The 21,137-nt window shown below is 38.2% G+C and overlaps 1 protein-coding gene across 54 annotated transcripts in view, besides 1 other annotated feature; it reads left to right on the forward strand.

Annotated features, from left to right (window-relative positions):
- Positions 1-21,137, forward strand: part of ERC1 (ELKS/RAB6-interacting/CAST family member 1) — a 505,975-nt gene that overhangs the window by 267,035 nt on the left and 217,803 nt on the right. For 24 of the 54 annotated variants that reach the window (XR_001748631.3, XM_047428562.1, XM_017019055.3 and 21 more), the window contains 2 exons: positions 6,041-6,172; positions 9,241-9,294. The exons of 8 other annotated variants lie outside the window; for them this stretch is intronic. Coding sequence is in view for 43 of the 46 variants with exons in the window: in XM_047428562.1 (XP_047284518.1) it covers positions 6,041-6,172; positions 9,241-9,294 (186 nt within the window). In the remaining 3 variants the exon portion in view is untranslated. The remainder of the gene's footprint in view (positions 1-6,040; positions 6,173-9,240; positions 9,295-21,137) is intronic. 22 more of the 54 variants (NR_027948.3, NR_027949.3, XM_047428566.1 and 19 more) reach the window with 1 other exon arrangement.
- Positions 12,077-12,277: a silencer, noted in NCBI's record as "peak1534 fragment used in MPRA reporter construct". NCBI's record gives its function as "represses an SCP1 promoter by STARR-seq MPRAs in K562 erythroleukemia cells {active_cell/tissue: K562}" and the evidence as "EXISTENCE:reporter gene assay evidence [ECO:0000049][PMID:32103011]".

Genomic DNA, 21,137 nt, shown 5'->3' on the forward strand with positions numbered 1-21,137 from the left:
TCATGCCCTTGTGTAGTCCTCTCCCGCACCCTGTCAGGATTGGTCTGTATGAACCGTACAAGAAGGCAGAAGTGATGGCGCCGGCTTCTGAAGCTACATCACAAAAGATACTGATGCAACTGCCTTGCACTCCTGAATCACTTGCCCTGGTGAGAGCCAGCCTCCGTGTTGTAATGACACTCAAGCAGCCCGGTGGAGAGGAACAGAGGCCTCTTGCCACTAGCTGCACCACCTTGCCAGCCATGTAAGTGGAAGCAAAGGACTGAATCCTGGTTGACATCTTGACTACCACCTCATAAGAGACCCTGGCACCAGAACTGTTTAGCTAAGCTGCTTTTGAGTTCTTGACCCACACAAACTGTGTGAGATAATCAGTATTCACTGTTTTCTTAAGCTGCTAAGTTTCGAAGTAACTCATTAATACAACAATGAACAATGATTACAGATATTTTATATTTTTAGTATTAAGGTGATCTACCATAGTCTGATTTTTCCCCTCTAAATCCACAGTTTGGTTTTCTCTGTTAGAGTAATAAATGCTATTTTAAATTGTTTTATTCATATTATCACCATGGTAATTATCAGGGTTGGGTAACATTGGAGCTTTTGTTGGTGTTTATTACCTATATAACTCATATTTGTCTGCTGACAGCCTGTAAGCTGGGAAAAGAGTTACAAATGTATGTAAAACATGATGTGTCATATAGCCTTTTATAGATTTATTTCCTATGTAAAAAACTGCTCTAACTAGTGCCACATTCTCCAGTAGAAATACAATGTGAGCCACACGTATAATTTTGAATTTTCTAATAGTCTCATTAAAAAAACTAAAAGGAAACATTAATTTTAATAATGTTTTCTTTAATCAAATATATCCAAAATATTATTTCAACATATAATCAATATGAAAATTATTAAAGAAGTGTTGTACCTCCTTTTTTTAAGACTAAGTTTTTGAAATTTAGGTGTGTTTATAGCACATCTCAGTTTGGACTAGCCACGTTTAATCACCCAGTAGCTAGTTGTTGCTAGTGGCTTCTGCATTGGACAGTACAAATAGTATATTAGCTAAAGAAGAATATTTTCTTCTAAGCTAGCGGCAGATTAAGAATGCCTATAAACAACAGGTATGATTTTCTCAAATTAAGTGTGGCATGTCCTATCTTAATCTCTAGCTACATTTAGTTCCAGTAAGTCAACTTCCTAATTTCCAGATGCTTCAGATCCTTCAAACCTAAGGAATATAGGGATAGGAGGAATTAGGGATAGTACATAGTATATGTAGATTTCTTCAGCATTACAGACTCAGAATGGCTCTTACTGTCTCATAGTTTATCATGAAGGTTGGTGAATATGGACTTTTTGAAGGAGAAAATGTACTTTAGCATGTAAAGCATGTATTCCAAGCCTCAGGCTACACATGGTAGAATCACTCTTACACTTGGGCCACCAGGAAGCACTTTCCAGGGGTTTTAGCACATCCCCTTACTTCATCGATGTGGTCCTCAGAGCAGAAGTATGTGAAGTCTGTTGCATTTCATGATTCTCAAGTCTAATATGACATCTTATTGGCTCACTCACTTTCAAGGAAGCTGGTGACAACTGTCACTTCTTCAACTCAAAGTCTGGCATTGACAGATTAGAGATTTTTAAATCTTCAGAATCTTCAGGATTTATGGAAGAACTTACTGTGATAATATTGTCCCTTTTAAAAAATGTTGTTATTTAGAACATCCCATGGTTATCAAAAGACTTGAAAGGAATTTCTTATCATAATTCTGACCCACTTCTGTAAAATATTGCCGTGAAGAAATTCATAGGACTTTTGAATAAAAAGCTGAAGAGCACAATGATGTATAATCCATACATGTTTTGTTCTCTTTACCTTTCTTTTTTCTGATCATGAGCACTGCCTGAAGATGTGTTTGCCTGGTCTGCTTTTCTCTTTTCACAGTAAACAGTTAACTTACATATTTAGATATCAGTTATCTAAACAATGACACTTGTAACTATTTCCAGAAGGTCTTTAGATCCCTATTGATTTCTTCATAGTGCAAGATACTCTTTTAACATATTTTTCAATTTTCTTTTGATTTTATATCAGAACTATGTATTTTATATTATTTACACAAATAATACTTACATGTCTTAGAATAATAGTCACTTCTCTTATTCTTTTCTAACTCTGATTCCTCTTCCTCTGAGATGACCACTTTCATCTCTTTTGGTTGTTTCTACTGTTGTTTATTTTTATCTTTCCAAATGACATTCTTATATTATTGTTGTATTATTTTTCTTATTTGGGCGTTGTCTGTTGACATCTTATCATAGATGATGAGGAATTAGTGTTTTTACACAAACCAACACACACACTTACTTCTTTCTGTCCTTCCAATATAATTATATCTAGGTCTACATTTTTAAAACTGAGGCACGTAGTATATTATGATTTACATTTTGGTCTTTCCTAGGGTACCTTAGTTTTCCTTTTTGTTTTTCCTGTCTTGGGTATCTCTTTCTTTCTTTCTTTTTTTTTTTTTTTTTTTTTGAGACGGAGTCTCACTCTGTTACCCAGGCTGGAGTGCAATGGCATGATCTTGGCTCACTGCAACCTCCACCTCCTGGTTCAAGTGATTCTCCTGCCTCAACCTCCTGAGTAGCTGGGATTACAGGCGCCCGCCACAACGCCCAGCTAATTTTTTTGTATTTTCAGTAGAGACGGGGTTTCACCATGTTGGTCAGGCTGGTCTCAAACTCCTGACCTCGTGATCCACCCGCCTTGGCCTCCCAAAGTGCTGGGATTGCAGGCGTGAGCCACCACGCCCTGCTTTCTTGGGTATCTATTCCCAGATTCCTTTCTACACCCATAAAATTCCTCCTGATATCATTGCTACTATAAAAACACATCATCCCTTACTAATTGCCCTTGGATAATCCATACATCTGCTGTTTTTCTTGGAAACATTCATTTCCTTTCTCTGCTGTAGTGTGTAGTTAGTCTCTAGGTTGTGTCATGCTTGTGGTTCCCTTCACCACTCACCTATGGTAGAGCTCTTTTTTCTGGATCCCACATCTTCTTTCCAGGTTTACCTCTTCATTTTCATAGAGTATACCGTAGTAGCTTCCTGAGAGAGTCGTTGAGTGAGATACTTTTTTGGGGGGATTTTGCATTCAACTCCCATATTTGATTGGTAGTTTAGATACAGAATTCTAGATTGGTAATCATTTGTTTTCCCTTAGAGTTTTGAAACCATTACTCAAATTGTCTTCTACTTTCCTGTGTTGCCTTTAAAAACTCCAGTGTCTTCTGATTTGTTGATCTGACAAGTGATCATTTTTGGCCTTTCTAAAAGTTTTCAAGATGTTTTCTTTCCTCTAGTGTTCTAAACTTTACAGAAAGAGTATTCATATTATCATCTAAGCACCAAATGATGGATTTAATCTTTTTGCAAGAGCGAGGACAAGAAAGAGTGATTATAAATATTACCTAGCAGTGCTGTTGATACTCTGGTATTTGTAGGACTCAAGGGCTTTCCTGTTTATTTCTTACAGTGGCTCAACATTTTATTAAATTAAATAGGAGATTCAAGCTGTGGTTCAACACAAGAGAAACTTCTTGGTTTATTTTAGCAGAGCTCTCAAAATTCCAAAACTAAAACTAGTGCCAGATTTTACCCACTCGATAGATTAAGTAATTCTGGACTTTGTAAATGAAGGTGAGAGAGATATTTGCCGTCTTCTTTCTCTTGTATTTTACTATCCTAGTTTGATACAGTTGCGTTAGAGCAAATGCTTCCATACTTAGCTTTACATCGAAATGTTATGTGACTTATAATATCACGTAAATATTACTTATCAGCCATTTCCTTTTATTTGTAGTTTCACTTGGCTTTTGTTTTTCATCCTTATTATCGAGAAAGATTTTGAACCAGGCTTTGTCATTAATTCCAGAAATCTTTTTTAAATAAGGCTGTGAACACTGAGCTCATGGAGTACACTCTGGTTTCACTGCCGGCTTCAGGTAAAGTCATGACATGAGTTTTATAATGAAACACTATGAAACTTGATTCTCTGCATTGTGACAGATTACTAATCATTTTCTCCCTAAAAGTTTTTTATTGATACAGCCACAAAGCTATTTTTGCCCCACGCAGATGTACAAGTGAAGTTGTTTGCTTGAAATAGATTCCTGGGAAGTTATTTGGAATTAACTGTTTGAGCCTCAATTTTAGATAATAGAAGCCTCTCAGGAGACTTGCAAAAAACAGTTTAAGAGTGGGATAGGATAGACCGCACAAAGACATAATACTGAGTTTTCCGTAAGTTGCTAATGAGAAACGTTATCAACTTTATGTATTAATAATGTTTCTTTATGCTTCTTTATACTTACAGCAATCTGTATTTTAGAATCCCACATTACTCCAAAATAGTCATTCTCATTCATTAGAGGGTTTGAGAAGACTGAACTAATCATTGCATCCATCTCTTAGTTCGTAATCCTTCTTTTATGTTTAGTTTTCTTTGATTCTGAAGAAACCACCTTGGCCTTTGTTTTGACGGGCATCGTTCCTTGTCTCTGCGCGCGGCGTCCCTTTAAAACCCTCCACTGTACTGTGCTGCTCATGGCAAGTCAACAGAGGGAAGGAAGAGCTCAACAAACAACGTTTGTTTTCTTTTGTTTTGTTTTGTTTTGTTTTGTTTGATACAGATAAACTGCCCTACATAAAACAGAACCTCACTTATGGGAATAGATCACAGTATTTTATAACTGTGGAGAAACACAGTTCTCTGAGAAGAATGAAAACTTGTAACATGAACATCACGTACAGCACCAAAATGTGAATTTTTTTCTAAATCTCATTTTTTAAAATTTAGAAAAACGAGAGAGGAAAAGATTTATCAACTGTTCATTAAGAAGAATGTTAAATAATAGATGCTGTTCTTCCAAAGTGGGGAGAAAAATCTGACTTAACTTTGACAGATTTCAAGTTCTAGATTTTTGAAGGTACAGTTGTCAAAAAGGACTTACAAAAGTGGGCTGTGGTATAATTGAGTTTCTTAGATAAAATAAAAAATTCTTGGATATCTTTTCCTGATATGAGTACTCTGAAAATTGGAGAATGGTTTAGCAAATCTTGCTCTTTTGTTTTATGTATTTTTAAAAGGAAGCACTTTATTCTTAATCCTCTAGTTTCATAAGAAGTTAAAGAAGGAAGTGCCTATAATAACCTGATGACTGCAGTTCTCCATCCCACTTGAACTCTTCTTCATGTTGTCTTCTTAAGATCTCTCCTATCTTACATGAACTCAGCGTTCTGTAGGGTTTTGTTTGACTTTCTGATAGATCAACATTCACCTCTCCGGAAGCTGTGTTTTAAACTTGTGTAGAACATCAGGGCTGGGAATTGCTTAGTTGGCTGATAAAATTGCTCATTCTTAGCCAGACCGGTCACTTATATCCAGTTGTCATTTTTGGTTTTCTCCTATGAGATTATGAGAAAACCATACATTCTTGAAATACTAGGATGCATCACTTGCTTTTCAATGTCTTTTAAGAAATCGTTTGCTGACAATTGTCTATGAAGAATATCATCTGAAAGATGATGCTGCTTACTGCACTTTTTCATGTAGGCTTAACTGCAGGGAAAGAGTGTTTTGATATTCGGTCGAATTACTATCTCATCAAAGCTGGCTTTATGCTTAGAGAGTAGTTCAAAAACAACTTTGTGCTTTTAAGTAATCAAGCCCTTGCCACCTCTGCTGTCTAACACAGTTTTGTTCTCTCTGTTACAGAGAGCAAATTTCTCACATTTGTCTTGCTTAACTAACTTGAGCCTTTGCTGTTAATGATATACTTCTTCAGCCTCCTTCTTTCCTTTCCTTGCTTTCTTTATTGTGTCCTCTGTGACGATATCTTGTTGACCTGGATTTGCTTCTGATGGAAAGAACATTTAATAAGCAAACAGCCCTTTCTTAATAAATAGGCTCTCCCTGGGTTAAGTAATTAATCCACTTCACCTAGTCTTCCATCATTTTCTAGGACAGTCTCCGTAAGAAGGATGACAGGATTGAAGAGCTGGAAGAAGCACTAAGAGAAAGTGTACAGATAACTGCAGAGCGGGAAATGGTGCTAGCACAAGAGGAATCAGCCAGGACCAATGCTGAAAAACAGGTCTGCTATTTTATACAGTTCCAAGCAATGCTGCTGGTTAACCAAAAGGTAACACACAACCAGTATAGTTTAGGTAAACTATACATATTGTATGTTTATAGGGTTTCAAAAACACTTCATAGAGGAGAAGTCCCAAGGAGTTCCTTCATAGCGGTATTAGATACAAGGATGTGGTTTCTTTTGTGTCAAGTATAGAAAGAAAGACCAACTTTATTAGCAAAGCTGAGAGAGAATTGATGAACATTTTGCAGAATGAGTGCCTTTCAGTGCCCTGTTCCTAGATAAATGCCTTGTCTACTCTTTCTTAAATAAGAATTGAAATAAAGTTGTATGAGAATTGACTCATGTTAACACAGAAGTCCCTGCATTAATAACTTAGGTCTGATCCCATATATATTTATGTAGCATGTGCTAATGTATTGGACGAGATGAAATGGAGCTTGTCTGTCTGCTACAAGACTGGGCACAACCCTGGCTTTTAAACGGAAAGAAAAAACATGAACGTTTCTCTTTTTTTTCTTTTATTATTATTAATTTTTTTGAGACAAAATCTTGCTCTTGTCCCCCAGGCTGGAGTGCGATGGTGTGATCTCAGCTCACTGCAACCTCTGCCTCCCGGGTTCAAGTGATTCTCCTGCCTCAACCTCCCGAGTAGCTGGGATTACAGGTGCCTGCCAGCACGCCCAGCTAATTTTTGTATTTTTAGTAAAGTTGGGGTTTCACCATGTTGGCCAGGCTGGTCTCGAACTCCTGACCTCAGGTGATCCACCTGCCCCGGCTTCCCAAAGTGCTGGGATTACAGGCGTGAGCCACTGTGCCCGGCCAAAAAAAAAAAGATACAAACATTTCTGACTGAAAAACGTTAATTTCAAATAGCTAATATTTTATTCATTTCATACCCTGCCTCATTGAAGAGAAGAGTTAAGGTTGTAACAAGTTAAGGTTAACAGTGAGTATGAAGGACATAGAAACCATGCACTTGAGTCCCAGATAAGCAGCCTCGGAGGGACTTGCTGAAGAGTTCTGCTGTGGCAGTTTGTGATGCTTGTTTTACATATATCCTGCATCTTTTAAGATCTCCAGACTCTTGCTTTTGACTTTTCATTAGGAAGAATAACTACAGATGGGAAAAGTGAATGGAAGAAATAGTTTTAACAAGTGAAGGTTATAATCCCAGCTCCCATTATGAGAATGTGATTTAAGATTTCAAACCTAGGCCGAGCGCGGTGGTTCACGCCTGTAATCCCAGCACTTTGGGAGGCCGAGGCGGGCGGATCACTTGAGGTCAGGAGATCGAGACCATCCTGGCTAACACGGTGAAACCCCGTCTCTACTAAAAATACAAAAAATTAGCTGGGCGTGGTGGCGGGCGCCTGTAGTCCCAGCTACTCGGGAGGCTGAGGCAGGAGAATGGCGTGAACCTGGGAGGCGGAGCTTGCAGTGAGCCGAGATCGCACCACTGCACTCCAGCCTGGGCGACAGAGCGAGACTCTGTCTCAAACAAAAAAAAAAAGATTTCAAATCTATCTGACACAGAGGTTCATAACACTTAATTTTGCAGTAGTTGTTTCCTTTCCATTTCTTTGTGGGAGAAATATAAATGTTAAACAGGAAAAAAATACTCAATGAGAGGGTGGCAGGAATCTTTCTAGGAACCCCTTGGTCAGACCAAGGTGTTATTTTGAGTTAAGGTAGCTATAGTAAAGAAGGGTATGTTTCCAAGGCAGACATAGTATGTGCCCCAGGGAGTCCCTTCATAGCTGTGTGAGATAGAAAGATATGGTTTCTTTTGTGTCAAGTATAGAAAAAAAGACCAACCTCATTGGCAAAGCTGAGAGAGAATGAACTTTTTGCAGAATGAGTGCCTTTCAGTGCCCTGTTCCTAGATAAATACCTTGTCTACTCTTTCTTCAAATACATTCCTAATGCACAGTCACATAGAGCTTGGTTAGTGGAGAGCTTCAGAGAAGGGATGGTGACAGCCATTGTGTCACCCAAGGGTGGAGAGTAATTTCCTTTAATCTTGATTTTACCCTTTTTATATTCTCTCCTTTATTTTTCAAAGAAAGATTTTTCTTCTGCTTTGGCCTCATTATTTATTGACAAGTATTAAACATCAGAGATCATGCAGAGATTTTGGCAATTAATAATCATGTCATTATGGGATACAGACTTCTGTTATGTATTTTCCTTTTTGAGGCTATTGTGTGAACTGATTATAATATGCTTTAGGGGTATGTTTTATTTATGGTTAATAGACTTCGCAGTTTTTAGGTTTGCAGAAAAATTGAGCAGAAAGTGCAAAGAGCTTCCATTTACGCCTTTCTCTGCCTCAGTTTCCCCTATTATTAACATGTTGCGCCAGTGTAGTATTTGTTAAAATTAATGAACCAGTTTTAATACATTGTTATTAACTGTGTGGTCCATAGTTGAGGGTTCACTTTTCGTGACGCACAGTCCCGTGAGTTTTGCCAAATGTATAATGACATGCATCTGCCATTACAGTATTATACAGAGTAGTTGCACTGCCCTTAAAGTATCATGCCCCACCGATTTATTCCTTCCCCGTCTCCCCAGTCCGTGATCTTTTTACTGCCTCTGTAGTTTTGCCGTTTTCTTTATTGGTAGTTGGAGTCATATAGTATGTAGCATGTTCAGATTGGCTTCTTTCACTCAGCATCTGCATTTAAGGTTCTTCTTTTTGTGGCTTGATAGCTCATTTCTCTTTATCTCTGAATGATATTCCATTGTATGGATATGCCGCAGTTTGTTCATTCCTTCAGCTGTTGAAGGACGTCTTGGTACCATTCAGTTTTTGGCACTTAGGAACAAAGCTGCTGTAAACATTCACATGCAGACTTTGGTGTGGATATAAGTTTTCAGCTCATTTGGGTAAATAACTGTGAGTGTGATTGCTGGATTCTGTGGTAAGATCATATGGTAGGAGTTTTGGAAAAAGCTGCCAAACAGTCTCCCAAAGTGGCTGTATGTATTTTGCTTTTAATTGTATGCTTTTTTCCTTTTCTGTTTTCTTGTCCACCTTTCTGCTACTCACTGCCTATCTGAAGCTGTTGCGTGAAATATTGCATGAGACCAGTTATTTGAACTTTAAGTGGTTCAAGGTATGAAGAAATTGCTTTTATGTTTATACTTCTGAAGCCTTACAACCTTCATCTACTGTCCTCTCCTCTCCCATTTTTTATTATTATTTTTATCGTTTCCTGTCTTTTTTTTTTTTTTTTTTTTTTTTTTTTTTTGAGATGGAGTCTTGCTCTGTCGCCCGGGCTGGAGTGTAATGGCATGATCTCAGCTCACTGCAACCTCTGCCTCCAGGGTTCAAGCCATTCTCCTGCCTCAGCCTCCCAAGTAGCTGGGGCTACAAGCATGTGCCACCACGCCCAGCTAATTTTTGTATTTTTAGTAGAGACGGGGTTTCACCATGTTGGCCAGGCTGGTCTCGAACTCCTGACCTCAAGTGATCCGCCCGCCTCGGCCTCTGAAAGTGCTGGGATTACAGGTGTAAGTCACCGTGCCTGGCCCATCTTTTCCTGTCTTTTAGCTCTACTATTAATTTTACTTATGTACGTTAATTATATGTACTGAGATAATCTACAAATGTTCTTTTGAAATGCCTTAAATGAGGCTTTTTTGTTTAGGAACATTATCTTTCTCAGATTCAAAAGTTACCTGTTTCTCACTTAAATTTAGCTTCTGGGAAAGAATGACTTTTTCTGATAAAGGTAGGATATCTACATCTCTTAATTCCTCCAAGAGCAAAGTAAAATTGTATGGGAGCCATAGCTCTTATTAAAATAAGATGTAGAACCTTCCAAAGTTCGAGCAAGGAAGAACTCCCATAAGAAAACATCTCTTGATGCCTTTTCTTTATTCTCACGGGATCCCCTTACAGTTTATTTATTCCTAATACATGCTGCCCCACGCTGAGCCCATGCTAGAAATTTAGAGAAGTTGTGTAATGACCTAATGAAGGAAGGTGCCCCCTAACCTGTGTGAGCAAATTGGAAGATGGAAGTGAATGATCCCCACAGGGGAGAACCCAACAGCTCCTTTACTTTTGCTTTGTCCCTTTCCACGTGGGGATTCTATTTCTGGAAGCTTTCTCTGTTTAACTTTTGGTGGGTTTTGTGCTTTATTGAATGTGAGTGTCACTTTTCTTAAACAAGGTCTCCTAAACAAGTCTCAGAATTGCCAGGGGCTAAGGAGCAGTATGCTTAGTTCAGCTATGATGTTATGAAATTTAAATTTTTGAATTTTAACATTTTAAAAGAGTGATTTAAATATCTTCACTGGGCCGGGATACAGTGGCTCATGCCTGTGATCCCAGCACTTTGGGAGGCAGACGCTGGAGGATTGCTTGAAGCCAAGAGTTAGAGACCAACCTGTACGACAATGCGAGGCCTCGTCTCTACAAGAAAATAAAAATTAATTAGCCGGGCATGAGGGGGTATGCCTATATTCCCAGCTACTTGAGGGACTGAGGTGAGAGGATCACCTGAGCCTAGGAGTTTGAGGCTGCAGTGAGCCATGATTGTACCACTGCATCCCAGTCTGGGCAACAGAGTGAGACCCTGTCTTTAAAAATAATAATAATAACAACATATTTGCACATATGAATTTGGTTGTTCTTTTAAAAGCCCCATTTTTAACAGTGATATTCAGTGATAAACAGTAATATTTTTTCAAATTGCCATTTTGACATTATTTGGCTTATAAAGTATAAATTCTTGATGTTCAAGGTTATAGGATTATATCTGTGGTTTGCTAGGTAATGATACATTAATGAGCATTTTTAAGGATTACATATTTTTTTGTTGTTGTTAATGTATAAAGTTCTTCATTGGCTGAAAATCTCCTCTGTCATTTATGCAACAGTTATCACCAGAATACCCAAGTTCATTTTCAGAATGAACAGTTGCCACTACAGAAGCAAAACTGGTAGAGGGGTATGTCTGTAGAAGATAATGTACACTAATAGAACTATAATTGTATTCCTTCGTCTTTCTTATTGCCTTTTTTACTTTTAGCAATTTATTCTTTACTTTTATAAACATAATTCTTTACTGGTCTGAATATTAAGTTATATTTCCCTCATTGTTTATTAAATGGCAGTGTTGCTCTGAAAATAAAATTATACTTTCACTTGTACCTTTTTCCCTGCTAACATTTAAAAAAATCTTGTGCTTTTCCAAATGCCACATTAAGCACTGAAAATGAAAAGGTAATAGATACAGCCTCTGTCTTCAAGAAGCTTGTAGTTTATTGGGAAAGACTGAAGGATGAACTTACAATTATGGTTCTGTTTGACAACTACCATGGTAGAGGTCTTAATACAGAGCTTTAGGAACAGAGGAAGAGGGGCAAGCCTGAAATCCAGATTTGGGAGGTCTGCAGAAGGCTTCCCGGAGGAGATTCTATGTGTGAATTAAAAAATTAGCCAGGTGTGGTGGCGGGTACCTGTAGTCACAGCTACTCGGGAGGCTGAGGCAGGAGAATGGCGTGAATCTGGGAGGCAGAGTTTGCAGTGAGCTGAGATCGTGCCACTGCACTCCAGCCTGGGCGACAGAGCGAGACTCCATATAAAAAAGAAAGAAAGAAAGAACTAGGCAAAGAAATGGAAGATGTTCAACATGTTCCATGTAGAGGGAGCAGAAGTGAAAGCTAGAAGCGTCTAGGAAACCAAGTTGTGGTTAGTAGCTACAGTTGAGTGTAAATAGGAATGGCAAGAACTATGTAAAGAAGAGAAAAAGATGAGAGAGTAAGGGAGATCCTTTGTACAGGTGTGCACAGTCAGATCATGCTGAATGAAGCATGTTCAAGCTTATGTTCAAGGAAGTAGAGAACCTTTGAACAAAGAACAATAGTTATTATTAGTTTACTTGCTCATTTATTCATTCAACAGATCTTTATAACTTATTCAGTGGGTGCTGTTGTAGTCCTGGACAATACATACTGATAAACAAAGTAGCTGTAATTTCATGCCTGAGACCTTACAGTTCAGATAGGGACACAGACACTAACCCAACAGATAACATTTAATTGCTAGTTATGACAAAGGAACAGGTTTTCAGAAATACACAATAATTTCTTGAAAGTTGGAGGGTTAGCAGCTATTTTAGATTAAGTGCTCAGAGAGGGTCCTCTGTGAAAGCGGCTTTGTCCTGGGCCTTGAAGGCTAAGAAGCTTACCATGTGACAAGTGGGACAGAAGCAGCAATCATAATGGTAATAAGGTGGAGAAGAGCTGAACGTGTCTAAGGAAGACTAATATGACTGGCGGGCAAGAACAGTGCAAGCTATGCAGGGCCTTTTATATAAGGCCATTCCATAAGAGGAATGGAAGCCATTAAAGAGTTTTAAAGAGGGCGTGACATCATCTGATTGATGTTTTTAAAAGATCATTCTGGGTGTTGGGTGGAGGATGAATTAGAGGGGGGTAAGATTGAAAGCGGGAGGATCAGATGGACTATTAAAGTAGCCTAGGCTGGATGTCTTCTAACTGAGGTATGCACACACCTGAAAGTGCATGAACACTTTCCCAAAAGGCACATGGGCACAGGCTCTCAGCCTCTAAACATACGTATCCCTGAAATTGATCTGCTCAAAAGGCACCTAAGGTGTGCAGATTCTCCTTTTTCATTTTCCCCTTCACGGTTCTGCACCCCTCACTTGACAACTCTCCTGACTCTTACTATCCTCTATTCCTCAGAGGTGAAAAAACTTTGGAATGTTAACAAAGGGACAATTCAGCATATTGGTGTTAAGATAATGGATGAGTCCGTCAGGTTGTTTTCAACAGAATTGAAATAAAACCTAATTAAGTTGCCAGTTGGTAGATTATGATAAATAATTTTCGATGACACGTTACTATCTGGTTTGGGGTATGTAATTCTGAAGGAATGCAAAGAGTTGAGTTATATTGCTACAACAAAACTCCTTCCATTCCTATCCATTTATATGATGAAGGTTTCTTAGTGCTTACATCTATAGAAGTGAAACATACCGATAGAATTGATGCTGAACCCTTATCTTCCTTTTTTTTTGAGATGGAGTCTCACTTCTTCACCCACACTGGAGTGCAGCGGTGGGATCTTGGCTCACTGCAACCTCCACCTCCCGGGTTCAAGCGATTCTTGGGCCTCAGCCTCCCAAGTAGCTGGGACTAAAGGTGCCCACCACCACGCCTGGCTAATTTTTTTGCATTTTTATTAGAGACGAGGTTTCGTCATGTTGGCCAGGCTGGTCTCAATCCTGACCTCAGGTGACCCACCCGCCTCTGCCTCCCAAAGTGCTGGGATTACAGGCGTGAGCCACTGTGCCCGGTCTGAACCTTTATCTTTCTATTAATAGTAATATTAACAAGGGGTATCTAAACTAATAAAAGTATAAAAGTCCCATTAATCTCATTAAGATAATATGTTTAATAAGATACATTTTAATTAAAATGTATTCATGTTTAATAATAATTTTCTTATAATATTTAATATATCTATTGGTTTTGATTGATACTATATAACTAGTGATTCTAATCATAACTCAGTGCACAAGAATTCTTAAGGGTTATGACCACAGGAAAATATTAAAATATCAAATTTAAATTTATATAAATATTTTTATTGAGAAAAGTACAAGACAGGATCTGTGCAAGCCATCTAGCACAAAGTAAATTACATTAGTATAAAATTCTAAGGAGAAGTAGAATGGAAACAAGGTCAAAGAGAAAAAGGAAAATGTAAATAATAATTTGTCCTTAACGGTTTTTGAATAGATGATGATGGATATCAAGTATGGTATTTGTATTTTATTGGATACTTCCTTTTCTTTAAAAAAGTGATGCTTTTTTAAAAAACAGTCTTTAATACCCAAGAAATTAGATCTTTGCAACTCTTTAAATTTTCGACGTAAAACATTTATATATCAAGTTAAAATCATTCTGTCTCAGTATGTTTGTGAGCAGAAAAAAAGAAGTATAAAAAGATACATTTTAAAAATCATAGTTGTATAAACTCTTTTAGGAGGTATAGAAGCAAAAATGTGTAGAGAGACTTTTGGTCTATGCAAGAGGTTGGGCAGATCAGGCAATAGCTGAAGAGATTCCACAGTGACAGTGGAGATAAAGAGAAATAGATAGATTTAAAACGTCTTTTGGAAATAGAGCTAAAAGGATTTGGTGAATTACATGTATGGATAAAGGATAGAAGAGAAAACAAAGATGGCCATTGGATTTCTGGTTGGCCAACTGGGAGAATAGTGGTATAATTTTTTGAGATGAGAAAGCCTGAGGGAAAAATTTGAGGATAAGAAGCAAGACATGGTATTAAAGAAATGTTAGCTACATTATCGTCAGTTTTAGAATTGTTATCAGATATTTTTATTATTGATTTAGAGATGAGTTCTCGATATGTTGTTCAGGCTGGACTGTAGTAGCTATTTACAGGCATGATTATAGCACACTATGGCCTCGAACTCCTGGGCTCAAGCTACCTTTCCACATAGCTGGCACTGTATGCGTGCACAATTTATATTTTTAGCCAAGTTTTCTCTTCTGAGATCCAAAGTTATGAAATAGACAACAACCCATTTCATATCTTTACACCAATATTTCCTTGATATCTCAACCAGAAACTAAGTTCAATCTTTTGATTCTCACCTTCCAACCAGTTTTTCCCCCAGGCTTGCTCATCTCATCTGAGAGGACTTCTTTGTAATCTTACAAAGCTGAAAGTAGGCTTACTGAATGTGAGGGAAGTCGAGTCTGAGAGAGGCAGAAGTGATAGGTTAGGTACAGAAATTTTTACACTGTGGCTTTCCAGTTCAAAAGGTCGTTCCAGAACCTTAGGGAAGCTGTATTCCATAATGGCGAAGAAGGTGGACTCTGGAGTTAGAAACCTTGGTTGGAATTAGGCTCCCATCACTTAGAAATTATGACCTTGGGCAAGTTACTTGTGGGTCAGTTCCCCGAGCTGTAAAAGAAATAGTTACTACATCTGCCACATTAAAGAGATGGTATCTGTATAAAGCACCTTTAACAGATTCTGACACGTGGTAAAGCCATAGTAAACATCTACCACTATTGGTACTTCTGTTGTCACCACCACTGCCCTCTGTGGTTCCAAGGGGAGGCACTGCTCTCACTGGTTGGCTGAAGGCCCCAGAGAAATGTCGTATTTATAGACCCTGTCTGGTTGATTCAGCACCAGCAGTGACAAACTTACTGTTAAATTCTAATTTACATATGTCAAGTGTTAATACTGTGACTCAAGGAAATTCTTGTCCTCTCCCCAATCTGGTCTCATATTCTAGAAGTTGTAGATTTGCATCAACTGAGAATAACACAGTCACCTAATATGTTGATCAGATGGACATTATTCTTATCACCAGATTATTTATTCTCTGAGAGTCTGTCTTAGATCAATACAGGTTCTTAATCTGTACATTATTTCCTATTTTACATCCATGGTCTTCTCATAAAAAGAGTTTGAGTAGGCCGGGCGCTGTGGCTTATACCTGTAATCCCAGCACTTTGGGAGGCTGAGGCAGGTGGATGACGAGGTCAAGAGTTCAAGACCAGCCTGGCCAAGATGGTGAAGCCCCATCTCTACTAAAAATACAAAAATTAGCTGGGCGCAGTGCTAGGTGCCCATAATCCCAGCTACTTGGGAGGCTGAAGCAGGAGAATTGCTTGAACCCGGGCAGCAGAGGTTGCAGTGAGCTGAGATCATGCCACTGCACTCTAGCCTCAGTGATAGAGTGAGACTCCGTCTAAAAAAAAAAAAAAAAAAAAAAAAAACCTTGAGTAGCTTTAGTAAACTGCTAGAAATATATGCTATAAAATCCAGTTCTAATGCTGTCTTTCAGTTTTACTAAGCCAGATGTTCTATAGTTTCCAGAAGGAAGGGAGGGAGGGGAAAAATACTTTCTTAGCATTATTTGAAACTAAGCATTGGTTTTAGAACGTTATCCTTAGATGTTATTCCTAGAAGCAGGAAGATACGGAAATTTTAAAACCGTAAAAATATTTTAAGGGTTTAGTCTTTGTAATCTTAAATTGGAATTTGAAACATTTGTTTAAATTTATGACTTTTTTCTCTTAAACAGTCACACATGCATTTCCTATGTACTGCAAATACCTAGAAAACAAATCATCTTCTTAGTAGCAATGCTCACTCGTAGTGGTCAGATACGGTTTCTAAATACTATTCAATATTAGAAGGACTTGAAATCTAAACAAAAGTTACTTTTTTGGCATAAAGTGAATATTATAAGTATACATTTTTCTTCACAAGTGCTTATTGGCTTCTGAAACCTCTGTAGTCTTTATAGCAGCACTGTCAAATAGAACTTGCTAAAACAGTGGTAATGTTTTATGTCTGTTCTACCAAGATGGTAGCCTCTAGCCACGTTTCTGTTGAACACTTAAAATTTGGCTAGAGCACCTGAAAAACTGATATTTTGCTTTTATTTAATTTTAAGTAAATTTTAATGGCCATATCTGCCTAGTGGCTACTATATTGGACAGTTCAACTCTATAGTATGTTGGACAGATGGGTGGGTGGATGGATGGATGGATGGTCGGTCAGTCAGATGGACAGACAGATAGATACATGGATATCTATCTATCTACATATACATAGTTAGTAGATACTAGTTAGTTTTTCCTCCTAAGCCTGACAGAGTTGTGACACTAGGATATTCAAATACAAGCATTTTCTGATATAGTTGGTCATTTTTTAAATTTTTGTTTTTGGAAAAACATTTGTGACATAAAACCATGTTTGTCAAAAGTAATTTTTCCTTTAAGAAATAATGGTGGAAGACTAGATCACTTTCAAGGGATATTATAATTGCATGTGAGTGTTTTCTTCCACATTCGTGTGGTAGCATCATGTAGATGCTTAAAGTTATGACGTGAGTGATGGAATTAGTGGAGGAAAAAGGAGTGGAATAGTTACAGAAATGAGAGTCATCTACATTAGATGTCCATAGTGAGAACATGCCACCCCAGCATTGTTAAAAGTTTATGTATCATCCATTCATTTCGCTGTTCATTCATTGTTTATCTAGATCCTCCTATGTGCTAGAAACTGAGAATACTTTACTGAACCAAATGAGTATGGTCCTTTTCCTCATGGAGCTTATATGTTAGTAGGGGAGATTGATCACAGAAATAAACATATACTTTAAAATTTGATCCATGCAAATAAAAAAAGTATAGTATTTTATAAAAGTGTGTAACAGGGGACCTTATTTAGAGTGAATGGTCAGGGAAAGCATCTCGTCTATTTTATTTTATTTTATTTTATTTATTTATTTATTTATTTATTTATTGAGACAGAGTCTTGCTCTGTTGCCCAGGCTGGAGTGCAGTGGTGCGGTCTTGGCTTGCTGCAACCTCCATCTCCCAGGTTCAAGCAATTCTTCTGCTTCAGCCTCCCAGGTAGCTGGGATTACAGGCATGCATCACCACACCCGGCTAATGTTTGTATTTTTAGTAGAGATGGGATTCCAGCATGTTTTTCAGGCTGGTCTCGAACTTCTGAACTTGTGATCCGCACACCTTGACCTCCCAAGGTGCTAGGATTACAGGCATGAGCCACCGTGCCTAGCTGGAGGGCATCTCTTAACACATTGATACTTAAATTGAGAAATGAAAATGAAAAGTAAGTAGGAATTAGTGAAATTAAGAATGGCAGGTAGTTTACTTCAGCAGGAACCACGTGTGTGGAGACCCTAATGATGGAAATAGTTTGGCATAGTTCGGAAATCAAAAGAAAACCAGAGTTCGTGGAGTGTACTAAGTCAAAGTGAGCCGGTAGCTCTATGGATAGTAGGTGAGTGATTGAATAAATGAGTGAATGAATGGATGGTGTGGCATGAAACTGGAGAGGTAGGCAGAAACCAGAATATATAGGATAGTCATGTTAATGATTTTAGGTTTTATCTCAACCACAGTGGTTATCTTTTAAGTAATTTTAAGCAGAAGAGCGGTAAGACTTATTTCCTGTTTTAAAAAGAGTATTCCAGGCTGGGCACAGTGGCTCATACCTGTAATGCCAGCACTTTGGGAGGCTGAGGCAGGTCGATCACCTGAGGTCAGGAGTTTGAGACCAGCCTGGCCAACATGGTGAAACCTTGTCTCTACTAAAAATACCAAATTTAGCTGGGCGTGGTGGTGCACGCCTGTAGTCCCAGCTACTCAGGAGGCTGAGGCAGGAGAATCACTTGAGCCCAGGAGGCAGAGGTTGCAGTGAGTCCAGATTGCGCCATCTCAAAAATAGAGTATTCCAGCAATTATATGAAGAATAAATAGGAGAGTAAGGGTAGAAAGGGCTGAGGACATGTTAGGAAAACATATAATCCAAGGACATGTAGGGTGATGGCAAAGGAGATGGAGAGGTCTATTTGGAGATAAACTCAGCAAGATTTGCTGGTCAATTGCATGTTGATGATGAGGGAGAGGAGAGGGAAGTGGCAAGGTTGATTTCTACGCTTCTTATCACGAGGATCTTTAAGTGGATGGTTGTCTTATTCCATTTAGTGTTGCTATAAAGGAATTACCTAAGGCTGGGTAATTTATAAAGAAAAGGAGTTTATTTGGCCATGGTTCTACAAACTGTACAAGGAGCATGATGCCCGCATCTGCTTCTGGTGAGGGTCTCAGGCTTCCACTTGTGTCAGAAGGCAGAGTACCTTTTATTCTTAATACAAACTACAATTCTTGTAGATTTACTGACACTTACTGATTACCTACTGTCTGCCAGTCACTCTGGTACATTCTTTCTTTATAATATTATTCAGTTGTTAAACAACAGATTCTCAGATATATGTAATGTTTTCTAGGTCGAAAACAAGTGCCAGTTCTTGTTGGGTCCTTTTTCAGAAGAGTAAAGAAGGGCTTACATGTCTTAAACTACATGTTCCTTCTGAGTGAAGCAATCTCTTCAACCTTACCTTATTCCCTTGTCTGGAAAAATCCTACTTCTTCCATAAAACCTTTTCTGACCTTCCAAGTCTGAGTTACATGTCTCTCTCATGTTTTTGTTTTTCTTTTTCTTTTTCTTTTTTTTTTTTTGAGATGGAGTCTCTCTCTGTTGCCCAGGCTGGAGTGCAGTGGCGTGATCTCGGCTCACTGCAACCTCCGCCTCCCAGGTTCAAGCAATTATCCCTGCCTCAGCCTCCCAAGTAGCTGGGATTACAGGCGCCCGCCACCATGCCCAGCTAATTTTTTGTTATTTTTAGTAGAGACGGGGTTTCGCTATGTTGACCAGGCTGGTCTCGAACTCCTGACCTCAGGTGATCTGCCCACCTCAGCCTCCCAAATGCTGGGATTACTGGCGTGAGCCACTGTGCCCAGCCTCTCATGTTTTTCAACTGCACTTGTACTTAGTCCTGTTTTTTTTTTTTAATAACACTGCATTATTATTACGTATTTACTACCTATTGCTTTAAGAGACTGTCTCCATTTTGTCTCCTAGAATGAAAGCTCCTTGAGGGCAGGAGCTGTGTCTTATTTACTGTTGTATCCTCAGCGTCTACCATTGCACCTGGTACACAATGGCATTCAATGAATATTTACTAAGTAATTAAATTATGAGCGAATAAATGAAATTTTGTCCTGACTTAATGTTTGCAGCATCACTGTACTTACTAAACAATTTAGGATTTAATGGTAATTTTATCATATTTTTATACTTATCTAAACAGTGTTTTGAAATGTTTTCTTTGTTGCAATTGCGTTTCCACTGGATTTGATAAACTACTTTTTCATCTGAACAGAAGAACTTAAAGGTGTCAGAATTGTAGATTTAAAGAATTAGAATAGATATTTATGTGAAAGTTATTTACATTTTTGTGCTTGATTTTAAAGAATGGTAGCCAGAGTGGAAAAATACAATTTAGAAATCATTATTATCCCTGACCTGTCCTTCAGTGGCAAAACAGAGGGCTTATATGTCTCAAAAAGTGAATGTGCAAAATTGTAGGCCCACTGTTGTTGACCTCTTAGCTAGTGGGAACTAGCTGAAAGTCTTATGTAGCAGTGAGCCTTCCACTCGGAAGTACCAGGCCACCATGTTTATGAAAACATGTAATAATTCAAAACATTCTGCAGAGCAGGTATAAACTGATTAGAATCATTTGAAAATCTTTTTGATCCTACTTTATTTCCTTTTAGTGGGACTGATGCTTCTGATCATCACTGGTAAATTTGACATTAGGTTTTTCAAGATTTGCCTCATCTTTCCCGGACTTGGAAATAGGTTCATAATATTATTAAGACTGATTCATTTCATATAGTGCTGTAATGGGTTACATTTAATAGTTTACAGAAATCTCTTCTTAACATATCCTAAATTCATTTTCTTTGCTTGCTCTTATAAGTCTTAACTGATTTCTGTGAGACATTCTTGAAATGAGTAGCTAAGCAGTCCAAAAGTGTTACAGATACAAACGTTATTCAGAACTATGTAGAATCATTCTGTCTTACAAAAAAAATAGAGTGTTACGTTGGTAACATAAACGGTGCTTGTAAAGCAGTTTACTGGTTTCTGCAGAAGTTCATCATGTTTGGTCAATGCACAGATTGTAGATACTGTTGTTCAAAGATACTTCATTTTTAAAATGTAAGATGTTATTATGGAACATGATATTGATAAGCATATAGAAAGTATATTTTTAATGTTTCAGGTACCTAAGAGATATGACAGTTCACGATCATCTTCTCTTTGCCGTTGTGTAATCAGTTCAGTCTTTCAATCAAATTCTGTCAAGAGGAACCTCGTAGGTTTCACTGTAGACTCTCGCTCTGCTGTCAAGGAGTTTGAATCCCCTTTGTTATGGTGGCTGGTTATGAAATCAGTCACTTGACAGACCCTGAAGTGAGACTGCTGGAAATACGTCATGTCTGCCTTCATGGTGACAGCTGGTTACAAAACAAACCCCACCACAGC

The sequence above is a fragment of the Homo sapiens genome, chromosome 12, assembly GCF_000001405.40.
Source record: "Homo sapiens chromosome 12, GRCh38.p14 Primary Assembly".
Lineage (NCBI taxonomy): Eukaryota > Metazoa > Chordata > Mammalia > Primates > Hominidae > Homo > Homo sapiens.